We start from the raw sequence: 13,963 nt of genomic DNA on the forward strand, positions 1-13,963 counted from the left end.
TCTCCTGTAATTCACCCTGTGGGTTATTCACTTGTTTCTTTCCTTCCCATTTTTACATGGTAGAGTGGTTTTCTGTTTCTTTGTCTGTCTTATCATCAGACTAGGAACCCGAGGCTGGTCTAATTCCTTTGATCACCTCCATCCCGGGTACCAAGCACAGATCCTGGTATAGAATAGACCTCTTACTAAGGTTTGTTGGATGATGGATGAATTACGGTATGCCTGGGGCTATAGGTGCCTGAGAATGGTAAACATTCACCACACCCCACTTAGCCTGGCTGAAAAGTCCAACCAGGCCCACCTGTCTGTTTCTCTCTAGCGACCTGCCTGTATGAGACTGTCCCACGTGAGGACAGGGCTGCGGAGCTATGTCAAGCAGCCCCCTAGGATGTTGTTCAAGCTCTTTTCCTTTCTTGCTCACATAGACAAACACTTGGGCTTGCCTCAAGATAAAGAATGACAATCTCCAGGCCCCAGGATATCCTAGGTCCTGTCTCTGTAATTCCCATTTCTTCTGTACAACATTGAAAGGGCAATGACTTCCTGGTGACTCTGGAGGCTGGGCCTGGGGTCAGGGCTGGAACTTTCCCTTGAGGGCCCTTGGAGAGATGAAAAATCAGCTTAGTATTTGTTTGGGTTTACTCAGCACTTTTGCCAGGTGGTGGTTTATGGTGTGAAAGTAAACAGCAGAAAGCATACTATTCACTGAGGTGTGAGCCAGGAGAGGGGCGGGCTGCTGGGGCCAAAGCCATGGTGTTTTCAGGCAGCAGAGCACATGGAGCCCATCAGGGACCAAGAGAAGAGGCAGGCTTTTCCCCACAATGAACTTCCAGACTTCAGGTCTTAGCTAAAATGTACTTCATTCCTTTATTAAGTCACCTGGAGACAGTACGGACAAAAGACAGTAAGACTTGGAATCAGATGTGATTCCAGATCTCAGTTTTGCCTGCTCTATGACCTACTCAATAGCTGTAAGCTTCCTTTTCTTCCTCTGCAAAGTGGCAATGATGATGACAACCACTTCAGAGGCTTCTTCCTACCTTATATATAGTAGGTATCAATCAATTCATACTAATTCATGTATTCTTCTAATAATATCCACACATGCCTACTATATGCCAGAGACTGTACCTGGTGCTAGAAATACAGAGGTCAATAAGATATAATCTCTGCCCCCCAGGAGATCTCAGTCCAGATAAAGCACAAACTAATATTGGCATTCAAAAGATTATCCAAATAATCTATAGCTATGACTCATGCCTGCACCTTTTTGCTATGTACAATGAATTAAAGAACATGGAACTTAGGGTCAGACAAGTCTGATCTGCCTATGGCTTTACCACTTACTGGCTGGGTAATCTGCAAGCTGCCAATTATGCAATTCATTGAGCCTTGCTTTCCATTTCTGTAAAATGGGGTTGATAATTCCCACTTCACCAATTTCACAGGGTTGGTGTTAGATCAAATGAGGTAATATGTGGGAAAGCCATTTTTTATTTAACTAATGCTCACATCAAGTTTTACAGTTTGCAAAGCACTCTTCATGGACAATTTCTCATTGAACTATCACAACAAGGCTGTGAAAATGCCTGGCTATTATCCTTCTTAGTGGTGTGGGTACTGAGGCCCAGATAGTATGAGAACATTCTATGAGGTCATGTGATCATCTAGTGTCTTTTCATTGTTTTGACAATCCTTGGAACAGTACTTCAAGGCAGACATTTCACAGATAAGGAAACGAAGCCTCAGAACAGGCAAGGAACACTGACCTGTCACAGGTGGGCTTCCCTTTGAGAGAAACTCTCAGCTTTTCCAGCAGATCCCCACCTCCTGCCACTCCTGGCCCTGCTTATCCTTTGTTATATCCAAGTCAGACCCTGATATATGTGAAATGAAATGAGGTCCTCTACACAGAGTTTCCCAGGCACTTAGTCTCACCCTTCCCATCTGGAGACTACTGCTCTGTCCATCCAAACACTCAACTTCCTTGCCAGTTTACACTAGACATGCTCTCCTGGCATGAAGTTAAAGTGGCCTGGTGACTGGGCACTCCTCCACCAGCCCTTTACAAGCTGGGTTGTGAGCTCTTACACATTTTAATGGAAGGGCCCTTGATGTTTATGGGGTGCTAACTGAAGGTAATACAGCTTGGGAGTGCTTGGATTCTCTGCAGATGGGCCCATCTGACTGAGTGAAGAGACCCACAGACTCAAGATGAGAGTAGAAACCTGTGATGCTACTTTACCATTTGGCCTCAAGTCATAGTCCCTATTGTTTCTTTTTTTCTTATTTTCAAATACCTTGAAACAAAAGGAACTGTTTTATTTTTCCTTCTCAGATTCTGCTTTGACATTAAAGCAGATAAAATTTCCTGAAGTGGCTAGTGAAAGCTAAACAGGACTATGCTAAAGAATGTGCTTTGACAGCTCATATGTCTTTTACATAATGTAAGTGGTCCTTTGTGAAATGTGGGTTACAGCTCCTCTCCTAGTCACAAGTTCCCTTATGTAAAACAGGGATGACGTCAACTACTATACTTTGGAGGACTGCTGTAGGAATTACTTTCATTTGGTTGATTTCTTGGGTGCTCCCTGTGTGCAAGCCCCACAGTGGGCACTGGAGATCCCATGGTGATTATGACAGGCATGAATTTTTCCTTGACCTCAAGGAGTTTACATTCTAGCATGGCAGACAGATATAACCTAAATCAATTTAGCATGAACAAAAGTATAGCTTCTAACATAGTGCCTGGCACATATTCAGGATATAATAAATACACACATTTTTATGAGAAAGGAGATGTAGTGGCAAGTACACTAGACTAAACTTAGAAGACCAGATATGAATTCTGACGTTTGCAACATACCCAATAACAAGGGAGGGTTTGATAAATGCTAGTTGGCTTTCACATGACCAACATCAGAGCTTTCTGAATTAATGGAGGAGGGCTGGGGTCTGGGAGGAATCTTTTGAAGTACTAGGAGTACACAAGCCATAGAGGAGACTTGAGTTCAGATTCTGACTCCCCAGTTTCCTAGCTGTGGGTACTTGGGGAACTTAATCTCTCTGAGACATAATTCTTTACCCCTAAAATGAGGAGAGTAATAATGGTCCCCCTCTAGGATGAGTGGTGACAACTGAAGAAAATAGTTTATATGAAAAGCTCTGTGTACACTATGCTGTGTATGACTAATTGATGAGGACCTAAGATGATTCCATCAGCACAGCTCCAAGTAACCCAGCAGAGGAATGTGTTCCTGAAGAATGAAATATTTGCTTTTCTAGTAGTGGTCTCAAACTTTGGGGCTACTACTAGAAAAGCATGCTCTTCCTCTGGTCACCTAGCATGGCATCATCAGCCAAGAGTATCAAAACCTAGGTAGAAGCCATTTGTATTTGTAGCCTGGACTTCCTCTCAAAATCAGAGGAAAATCTCCAACTGTCCAAAAATTCCTATTCCAAGCTTACAGAGTTCTTGATTGAACTGTACAGGCCCTTGGAGATGAACCTGGCAACACGTGAGCTCTTCCCCTACAGAAAGTCAAACCCATAGCACCACCCTTTCCCTACCCCACCTCTTCCCTGCCTCACCCGTGCACTGTCCTCTCTCTAGATTGGAAGCCCACCTGATGGGAAGATCAATGTGGTCCCCTGGCACTAGCACCAGGTGTGGCCCAGCATGGCTTTCAACAAATGTTTGTTGAAAGAATAGATGAATGAAAAAAGCTTTAATGGAAGAGGTGTATGTCGGTTGATGCGACTCTATCTCAGTGCCACGTTGTACACAGGTTATTTTGTTAAATATATTATGTAGAGGCTCAGTGTCCTTTGTGCCTAAGCTTCTTAGAAACTCATTTTCTCCAATCTCTGTGTGTGAACTCTGTAATTTAAAACAATGCCTCAGTCCTTACACCCACAGACACATCTTCTTCATGCTAATGCCCAAGTCACACTTGTTCTCTTTCTATGATGTGGAAGGGGGTGAACACACGAGGAAGAGGCGAAAGAGCAGGGAAAAGACACAAGGTTTGGCTCTTGGTTAATTATGTCAAAAAATGTATATGTACAGGAAAAGCTGCCCCAGGCTCGTCTCATTAGATGTTAATCCCCGTGCAAGCCCAGATGAAGCCTGGGACCTATCGCTGCTACGTTTTAATTTGTCTGGACTTACTTTACAATCCTGTTCATTAAAATAGCTGGTAGGGGAAGCTGTGCCTTTCTCCGAAAGGGAAAGACTTATGCACAATTTTCCCACAAAATTTCTTCTACTTGGAAAGATGCTCAAAACTGATACAAGTAGGGGGTAGAAGGGCCCCCGCCCAAAGATCTGCACGCCTTCCTGCTGAGCAAGGAACAGGTGCAAATGAAGCTGTTTCTAAAATTCCAGTCATGTGGAAACAGAGTCTTGCTCCCCGGGACCTCCTGGGAAGTCCTTTCATAAGTCTGCATTTAGCACTAGAAGAGGTAATAAGTATAATTGTTCTATTTTGCTGAGGACCTGAGATTCCAAGAGTGACCTTAAGAAATTTTAATAGAGGGTTAATTTTAAATGATTCCTGCCACGATTTTTTGTTTTATCACTAGCTCATCTGAGTTACTGCACAAGTGGGGGAGTTTATCAGAAATTCTGGCATACTTAAAGTCCAAGCCAAACCATTAATAGTCAGCATTTGAGGCAAAAATAAGAAAATGAAGTACCTTCAATGTTCCAGAACTGCAACTGTTGTTGTTGGAACACAAATATTAACTCATTAAATTCTCTCAATAGTCCTGCAATGATGCTTTCACTCCCATATCATAGTTGAGGAAACAGCTTGGAGACATTAAGTGCTCAAAGGTACTTAGCTAGAAATGAAAGGTGACTGTGATTCACATGATTTTTGGCCTATGAGTTGTGGGATCAGGTTTAGACAATACCTCAGATGCCATATGAGTGTATCCCCTGATTGTTAATTACATCTTAGATCATAGCCCCAGCTAGACTATAAGATCTCTGGAATCAGTGTTTTCAGTTTCCTTCCTCACCTCAACCCAATGCTGACTGTGTTAAGCACTTTTCCTTTTGTTTGTCTGTTTATCCGTCTGTTCATCCTCCATCCAACTGTCTGCTCATCCATCAGCCCATCTATCTGTCCATCCACCCAAATGTGTAATCACCTAACCAGCTGTGTGTCACCAGGCCATCTAAGTGTCCCAACTATTTCATGTTTATGTGCTGGAAAGCATCAGGGAAAGGAGGGGTTGAAGATACTGGAGGGAGCAAGGGGATGCTCAGCTGAGGTGCCTTTCAACAGGTAGAGAGGACTGTTTCCGAAGCACAATCAGAGGAACGGGCATAGTGGGTACTTCACCCTCTGGGTAGAGGGATCAGACAGAGTCATGTGGGACACAGTCTGTATGGGAAGCAGGCAGGATAATGGGGCAGCACTAAACTATTGGCCTCAGCGTTCTCCGTGAGGTAGGAGGCGGGAATCTCCCTGGAGCAGGGTGCTGGTGAATAGATGTGAACATTTGAAACAGCCCCCTGGCGAATGAGAGCGAGAACTCACAAAGTACAAGAACTGCAGCTGGGAGGGCCCAGGAGAGGCTAAAGATCAGGAGCATGATGTGATTTGGCTTAGTGGCATTCAGAAGCACAGCTTTGAGATCAGAAGTGGTGAATGGTTAAAATGATCCTGGGTTTTGCAAGGTGGATGTGGAATAAAGGCACAGAGACCAGGGAGCTGTGAGTGATGGACCAGCGGAAGAGCAGAAAATGTAGAAGGAGATTGAGCCAGGAGAGAACTGGCACTGGGTAGGAAGTGGCCTGGTTCTGGCCAGGACATTTCCTTTAGGTGGATTAGTGTCAAGGAAGAAAAAGAGCAAAACTAGAGGAGCAGGCTTTATGGTTAGAAAAGAATTCTCTAGATGGGAAAACTAGGGCCCATCTAGGAAGTACCTTATCCTATGCCACACAGTGACATGCATGTCAGTACTTGAGTAGGAACTTGCTGGCTGCCTTGGCAAACAGTCAATGTAAGGGGGCAGCTGGACAAGTAGCTGCCAGATGGTGGTCGCTGCGCTCTTTGGGCCTTCTTCTGTGCTTCTGCCTGGGCCATTTCCATAGTCTGGGCTCCTTTACCGTGATCTTCATGTATTCAAATCTAAATGTGCTTTGAGTTCTGGCTCCAATGCCACCTCCTCCTTGAAACCCCCTCCCGGCAGCTGGAAGGAGTTTCACCTTCTGCCTTCCCAAAGCACTTTTACGTGGATCTCCCTTTCTCAGGGTTATTAGTCTACCTGAGTTGTCTAGAGAACCCTGCCATCATCAAATTAATCTCTGCATTCCCTAGTGAGTCTTACACAGGAAACATGTCTTCTGACTGTATCTGTATTGCCAGATTCCAGTGGTACAGGACAGAGTGCTCACGTAACTGTTCAAGATTCTGTGATTTTTCAGAGAAGAGGCTTGGAATCAGGTAAGAGCCTGCTCTGCTACTTCCTAGCTATGTGAAACAAATACTGCACACCTTTGAGCCTTATTTTTGTCATTTATAAAATGGTGATAATGATATCTATCTATCAGAGTTTTAAAACAGATTTAAAAATATACTGAGCATCTACTATGTGACAGATAGGCCTAGGGGCTGAGGATACGAGATTATATGAAATTATTCGTATCCACAAGAAACTCAAGTCTGCCTATGTGTGTAAATGTGCACAATGCCAGCCACCATGCCCAGCACACAGTAGGCTAATTAAAAGTTAGCTTTTTCTCCCACAGACCAGATCTCCATATATTTTGTACAAATTAGCATTCTGAAAGTATGGCACCCACGCTGTCTCCCTGCCTCCCTCACTAAGTTGGACAGATGGCTTTCAGTCTCAGTGCAGGTTTCAGGAAGAAGCCAGAAGGGGAAGAAGGTACAGCAAAGGAACCTCTGACTTCCTTACAGTAATTAGTCTCCTTTAGACATTGAGGCCAAACCCAAGCTACTCTCCTGTGCTTTTCAACTTCCCTCCCTATCACCCGAGAGTCAGAGCTGCTTCAAGCCATGGCTCTGTTCCACGGATCGAGATGGCGGAAAGTTAATGAGCCTTGGAAACCACACGGCCTTTCACCTCATTCAAGGAGCTTGGAGAGCTTTCAAACCAAGCAGAAAAGTGGATTCCAGTATGTGGGTGCAGAGCAGGTCTCCACATCTATTCCCCCAGGACTAGATTTTCAAGTCTTTACAAAGCACCTACCACAGGAAGCAGTAAGCCACTGCTATTCCTCTTAATTGGAGAGTATCTGGCTTCCTGATTAGAGGAGTTCAAACCCAGCTTGGAGGAGGCCTCCAAATAGGAGCTGACTTTGCAGAAGGATAACAAGTCAGGAAAGAACTAGTGAGCAAGGAAGCCAAATAACGAGACTGGGATGTGTATTTTCGGCCAGGACTGGAACACAACCTGACCCCCACTAAAAGGGCCCAACTGGGTGAAATGAAGAGACAGCTGATGTTACACTCTCTTCCTAATGACCTCTGACCCTAATAACCTTTTGTAAAAGGCTCATTTCTCCACTCAGTCATAAGCTCATCTATCTAACTCTTTCCTGGACACTTCCACCTGGCTGTCCCCCAAGAACCTCCAACTGTATGCTGACAATAGAGTAGGTTTCTAAAACCAAACCTGACCTTGTCACACCTCCGCCTAAAACTTCTCAGTGGCTCCCAAAGACAGAAAAAACCTAAACTCCTTCAAGATTATTCATGCTGGCTTTCCTCATCTTTTCCCCCTCTCACTACTGCCACAAATATCCTAAAAGCTAAGCCACTTCAAGCTACTCATCTTTCCTAGAAAATGCCTTGATCTCCCATCTTTGTATATGTTGCAAATCTTTGACTTCTACAATTGGCTGTTGCAAGGTGCTTGCCTCTTCCTTTTATCACTACCTACTCATATCCAACCTCCACCACCACCTTGAATTCCACTTCCTCCAAGAAGCTTCCCTGACCATTGGTTGAGAGCAATTGTTCTTTTTCTGAAACCCTTGTAGTAATATTAGTACACCAAAGTCATGATCCAATTTACATGGTTCCTCTGGCAGTGTTACTAAATGAAGTGCTATCCAAAACCTGATACCTGATTTACTGGCAGTTTCAGCACAAACCTTGGTAATAGCCAATGGCAGAGTTGTGCAGAGGATAAACATGGGCTCTGAAGCCAGAGAAGCCTGGAAGTGAATCATTGTTTTCTCAGAGTGTCTTTGAGCAAGTCACGCAAGTTCTCTGGACCCTGGTTTCCTGGGAGTAACACCATCTGCAATGTCAGAGGTTAATGTATTTGCTGTTTGAATAAGTCATGAAGCACGTACATGAAGGAGCTCTGTAAAATATAAAATTTCCATTGAAAGAACAGTTTTTTTTTAAGATTACAAGTTATAATAACAGCAGTTTGATTCAGGAAGACAACTAGAGATTTTGTACAAGATATCAGCTTGGGCATCCAAATAGAAACTTCATTCTGAAGCCCAATTTCAGAAGGGCTTATATTTGCATACTGAAGAGATCCAATTCTGATAGAAAACGTTCCAGGGCTGTCAGGGGAAATTCTACTAAATTACAAATCTGCCAGCTCTTGGTTTATCAACCTTTAACTCTGGCAGTATTTAGCAGCATGCTTGTCTGGGCCCAATTTTCCAGTCTTTGATTAAATGTTAGGAACTGACCATCTCATTGTGTCTAAACCGCCACACTACCTCCCAGGCAACTGGGAGGCTCTTCCGTGCCGCCCTCTGACACTTCCCTTCCTCTCTATGCCACTGTCAATCTCCTGGATATTTATTATTCTGAACTTTGATTTCAGGCTATCACTTGCTGTTGGGAAGGGGTACAGGAAATGTCAAGTCTCAATGGATATTATTCCTCTGGAGAGATTCTAACCTTGAGTTTCCCCTCCTATAACATGCCTATACAGAAATAGCCTAACTTGATTGTTTCCTTTTGATGTTTAATTGGATGTTGGTGCTGTGCTTTCTGGACTGAGAAGCTAATGCTTCTCAGAGAAGGAACAATTCTAGCTACACAAATGAGACTTGTAACAGGGGAGAATGCTCAATGCTGAATCTAATTTTCTCTCCCATCCATGAACATAAGACAATTTCTCTGGCATTAAAGCATCTCACTCAGTCTTTCTGTCATTAATAAGAATTAAATTCTGTTCCCTCAAATTTAAATGTAATTATATTTTGCCTCGTAAATAAAATTGAATTTAGCTCTAGTGCAACTGCTATGTTTAGAGCTTTAATTATTTTAACCCGGTTGCTACTTTAAGCTTATTTTTGTTAAAGCATTGAGTTTATTTTGCTGTCGATTGTGACCTAATTTGATAACAGGGCTTTTCAGCGCCATATCCATCTAGTCGTTATTGTTATTATTTATGCTTTGTGATTCTCTTTCCCTTTGGGTAGGGGAGGAGATTAATAGAGAATAAACTGAAAGCTTAGAGGATCTGAGTGTGAATTCTGGAGGGTTCCACTGTGTTAAGGTAGAATCTAGGCCAGATTGAGTTGAGAGAGCCAAAGAAAGAGATCTGATGTGGAGTCTGAAAGGGCAACAGTCAATGTTCATTGACAATTATTTTAAGCCAAGATTTTCGGCACAGCATTCAGCGGGCTCCGAGGTTTGGATCCTGCCTACCTCTGGCCTTCTTTCCTGCCACCCACCCCTGCAGCTTCTATCTCCAGCTGGACTGAGCCGCGACTGTCCAGCTGATCATGCATGCTCTCTACTTGTGCACACGCTGTTCCCTTGGCCTGCACTGCCCTCTCCTCCTTGGCCACCAGGGGGCCTCCCTTCAGTCCCCTTTCAGGGTCTGGCTCACAGATCTCTGGCTGGTGACAACCTTCTCCATTTCCTCTCCCATCCCATTACTGGCCAAGTTCACTGCTTCTGCTTTTGTGCTCCCAAACCCTACTGTACACACAACAATCAGAGCTCTGCTCATGCTGAATAATTAGGCGTCTCATTTCCTGACCAGGCTGTGGGGCTGTCTGATCCTCGGTGCCTAAAACAGTGAATGCCCAGCACACAGGATAGGCCAGAAAGATTCAGTGAATGAATGCAGTGAATGTGTCAGCGTGGGAGCAGGTCTGGAGCTACTGTGGGGTGCTCTCTCTGAGGAGGTTGTGCTCTTCTCTGGAATGGACCTCAGGAAGCTTGTGATGCTGAGAGGAGGCTGACCCTAACTCCCTTGTGCTGTGGGCCACTGACCTAGTTGTTTGGGGTTAATGTGTCAGCTTTTATCTGACTCTTCATCTAGACAATGATCTAGATAATGACTCTTCATCTAGAGTCAATGACCAGTGTTGGGGCTGGGGAAAGGGGATGGTAGAGAGATTCAGAAACTGCAAGGAAACTGCGCCTCTGAGAGAGCAAGTGAGTTGTTTACGGTTACACAGATTCAGGTCCAGGCCTTCTGGCTCCAAACCTTCACTGTATAAACTGTCCTAAGAATTACACTTGTTAGAGTCTAAGGACTGTTTGGATAACTTAAATCTAATCATGCATTCTAAAACTATATAAAACTACTTCATTTATTGACTGCTTACTGAATGCAGCCACCATATACATGTGAAATCTGATTTGGAAAACAACCCTGCAAGGCAGGTGTCATTAGCCATAGTCTATGCTTAAGCTTAGTGTTGAAAATCTAGCCTGGTCCTACTCCAAATTTCATGCAATTCTTGCTGACTGCACGTGTTACCTCCAAACCTGTGCCACTGAATCTCTAAAACATCTCCACCTGTTATTCCACAAAACTCAATTGCAATCAAATGATAAGAATCATAAACCCGCAGCATGAGCATTTTACAGGCAAAATCTCTGCCATGTATTGCTTCTGTGAGCCAGCAACCCTAAGGAATAAAATATAGGGAGAGGGCCCTCTCAAATAAAAGTCATTTATGGGAGACAAGACTGGAGAGAGCTCATATAGCAGTGGAAATGAGGAATAAATTTATGAGGCTGAGGAGAGAGGCTATGGGGGTAAGGGTGGGGAAGGAAGACCTGAGGGAGAACCAACAGGGACAAATGATGAGTCTAAGGGATGGCTTTTGAAAGCGTACCATGGAAAATGCCACAGAGGCTAAAATCTTTAGAAGCCATTAAGCTCTGAAAGAAAGGTGAGCCTTTCCAATTCTAAGGACCATCTCAAAGAGATTAAATTCTTTCCCTTTTCTGAGACAGCTCTGAGCCAAGAGGGTGAAAAGCCAACTAAAGCACAAGGAAGGGGAGATGGGAGGAGTTGTTCTGCTCAGCAGTGCTGCTGAGTGTACCCACTTTATGCAAAAGTTGATGAGGCATTCAGCCCAGCAGGCCTGCTCCCTAGGGAAGATGGCTTGAAGGAGGTGAAATGATGCCAGCTCTTGTCCAGGAGGGCTTCTGGCTGGCTGGCACTGCGCATGAAACTAACATGATCTAGGTCTGGGAAGTGACAGACAAGGAGCACAGAGATTTGGTGTTAGCCCAGCACACTGTGTGGGGAGTGGGAGGGAAGGGGTTTATGAGGAGGTGGGGAGGAGGTGGAGTCCTGAGAGAAGGGATTAGGTTCGCTGTCGGGTAGTGTGCTGGGATCTTCCTGGACAGAGCTTTCGGCTGCAGCCCCTCTCTTCCCTGTGTTTCCAGGGGGCTCTTTTTCTTTCTTTGACTATTCACTGGTTAAGTCATTCATGCAATAATCACCAAGAACCTAATGTATGTTTGTCCCTATGCTAGGGATACTTATAGGCCCTGACCTCACAGAGTTCACAGGGGAGAGAGAGAGAGAGAGAGAGAGAGAGAGATTGATTAGAATACATCAGTCAATATAACATAGTGTTTAGGAGAGACCTTGGAGCCAGATGTGGTTTGAATCTGGACTCCGCCACTTATGAGTCGGGTGAGGGTTGGGGGAGAAAAGGGATGCCAGTATGTAATTTAATCTTTCTGAGCTTCAGTTTCCTTATCTGGAAATGGTAATACTAGTAATACTTCCTTCCCAGGGTTCTTATGAACCTTAGCTAAGATAAGGTTGTAAAGGACTTAGTTCAGTGCCTGGTACATGCTAAATACTAAGAAATGGATGGCTCTTTGTTACTCTATCCTGTGGCTTGTCAGAAAGAGAGATAAGAATGGCAACATGAACACCTCTTTGGATAGAAAGGGGGCATGAGGCAAGAGCTGAGGACTTGGGAACAAAGGGCCTGGATTTAATTCAAACTGCCTCAGGTAAGCTGAGTCACTTAGGGCCAGTCATTCCCCGCTTCCAACTCTTTTCTATCTGTTTAACAGCAACAGCAGTAGCCACCTCCCCCACCATCACTACCACCACCATGATCAGTATCATCCTCACAAGTGACTCAGGAAGTGAAGTCCCACTGGGGCCTATGTCCTGTGCTCTTCTGGGGCATAAGAATCTGTTGCAACAGTTATGTCGTGTGATTTATCAGGAAGGAAGACCACATGCATGAGGCTGGACTGAAAGAGGAATTTCTGAGACGAGACTGGAAGCCAAGTTGCCAGGAAGCCAGGGAACTGAGTAAACACTTGTATAAAATCTGACTTCACTGTTTCCACAAACCTAACCAAAGTGCTGAGGAACTTGTCAGCTCACATTTCAATACAGGGCTGGTTGTTGAGTGCAGGGCATGTTGATTTAAGCTGCTTTCATTAAATCCTGTTCTTGGTGCCAAACAGCAAGACACTCATCTCAGGGAATAGACAGTGTTCCCTCCTAGGAGGCAGCAGGCAGCAGGGGCCCATCTCTACCAACCCAAGAACCCAGAACCAATGCTGATGGTGCAAGGATCACTTGGGATTTGTCCTTTGGCCTGCAGCTCCTGATGGGAGGGACTGGGCAGTGTCTGTGCCAGCTCTGCCATGCCAGGCAGCAAGCAGCATAAGCAAGATGACTTGAGCTACCGTTTGTCTAGGGTGTGAGCTGTGCCAGATACTACAAGAACTACTTTGCCCAAATTTCCTCACCTAATCCTCACAGTGATTCCATAAAGTAATTTTACCTAAGGGAAAATTAAGGGTTAGAGGGTTAAGCCACATGATGAAGCCATTCAACGAGTGGGGAGCAACTCTTCCCCCAAAAAGCCCAGTGCCTGTTCTGCTGCCCTGTAGCTAACTCCCTAAACAGAAAGATAGTTTCTTGGCTCTAGTGAATCCAGGCAACGAGGCATTCCTTGCATAGCTTCACTGCAAAAACTCAATAGCTTTAAAACAGCTTTCACTCAATGAAAGTGCCCTTGGAAGGGAGGTGGTAGAAAGACATTAAGTGCTTACTGTATGACGGACACTGTTCTACGTGCATACCAAAACGATGTACTTTAATGATTACATAACCCGCTGAGGCAGGTACTATTACTATCTCCATTTTTCAGATAAGGAAACTGAAGTCAAGAAAAGTGAGCTTTCTTGCCAAGGTCGCATGGTTAACATGTGGCAGAAGCAGGGTGGAACCCAGGCCAGCAGTTCCTGCACAGCAGGGGCTGAGGAGAGAGAACAGTTGAAATGCCCTCATTCTCCTTCAAACCAGCTTCCAGAGGTGAAGTGACAGCTGAGGAGGAACGTGGCCTGTGGAGAGTGCTGGAAAGCAGGCTGCCCCAGCGTGGGGCCAAGCCTTGACTCCCAGCTTCCTCCCTCACCAGCATGGCTCATGCAAGTCACGGCCACTCCTCTAGCCTCATCACAGGAACAGGGGCAATACCGTACCTGTCATCCCAACCTCACAGGGCTGCTGTTGCGCAGGGTGTGTGTTGCCATGTGAAACATCTTTGTATGCTATGGGACACTCAACAAACGCCAATTGTTTTCACTATTACAATACTTTTAAAGCTGCCTTTTATATTCCTGGCCTTGTGGCAATCATGAGACCCTTCTAGTCATTTATAGGATAGAGATTTAAAAATTAGAATCTATATTTCTGAAAGGGATTTCATCTTCCATCTTATAAT

General features: G+C 44.6%; 1 protein-coding gene across 9 annotated transcripts in view, besides 1 other annotated feature; it reads right to left on the reverse strand.

Annotated features, from left to right (window-relative positions):
* TENM4 (teneurin transmembrane protein 4) overlaps positions 1-13,963 on the reverse strand; it is a 788,202-nt gene that overhangs the window by 136,132 nt on the left and 638,107 nt on the right. The gene's annotated exons all lie outside the window — the stretch shown is intronic.
* Positions 13,118-13,619: an enhancer, noted in NCBI's record as "OCT4-NANOG-H3K4me1 hESC enhancer chr11:78513123-78513624 (GRCh37/hg19 assembly coordinates)". NCBI's record gives its function as "activates a minimal SCP1, AML or CMV promoter by ChIP-STARR-seq in primed H9 embryonic stem cells {active_cell/tissue: H9 hESC(primed)}" and the evidence as "EXISTENCE:reporter gene assay evidence [ECO:0000049][PMID:30033119]".

This window comes from Homo sapiens, chromosome 11, assembly GCF_000001405.40.
Source record: "Homo sapiens chromosome 11, GRCh38.p14 Primary Assembly".
Classification (NCBI taxonomy): Eukaryota; Metazoa; Chordata; class Mammalia; order Primates; family Hominidae; genus Homo; species Homo sapiens.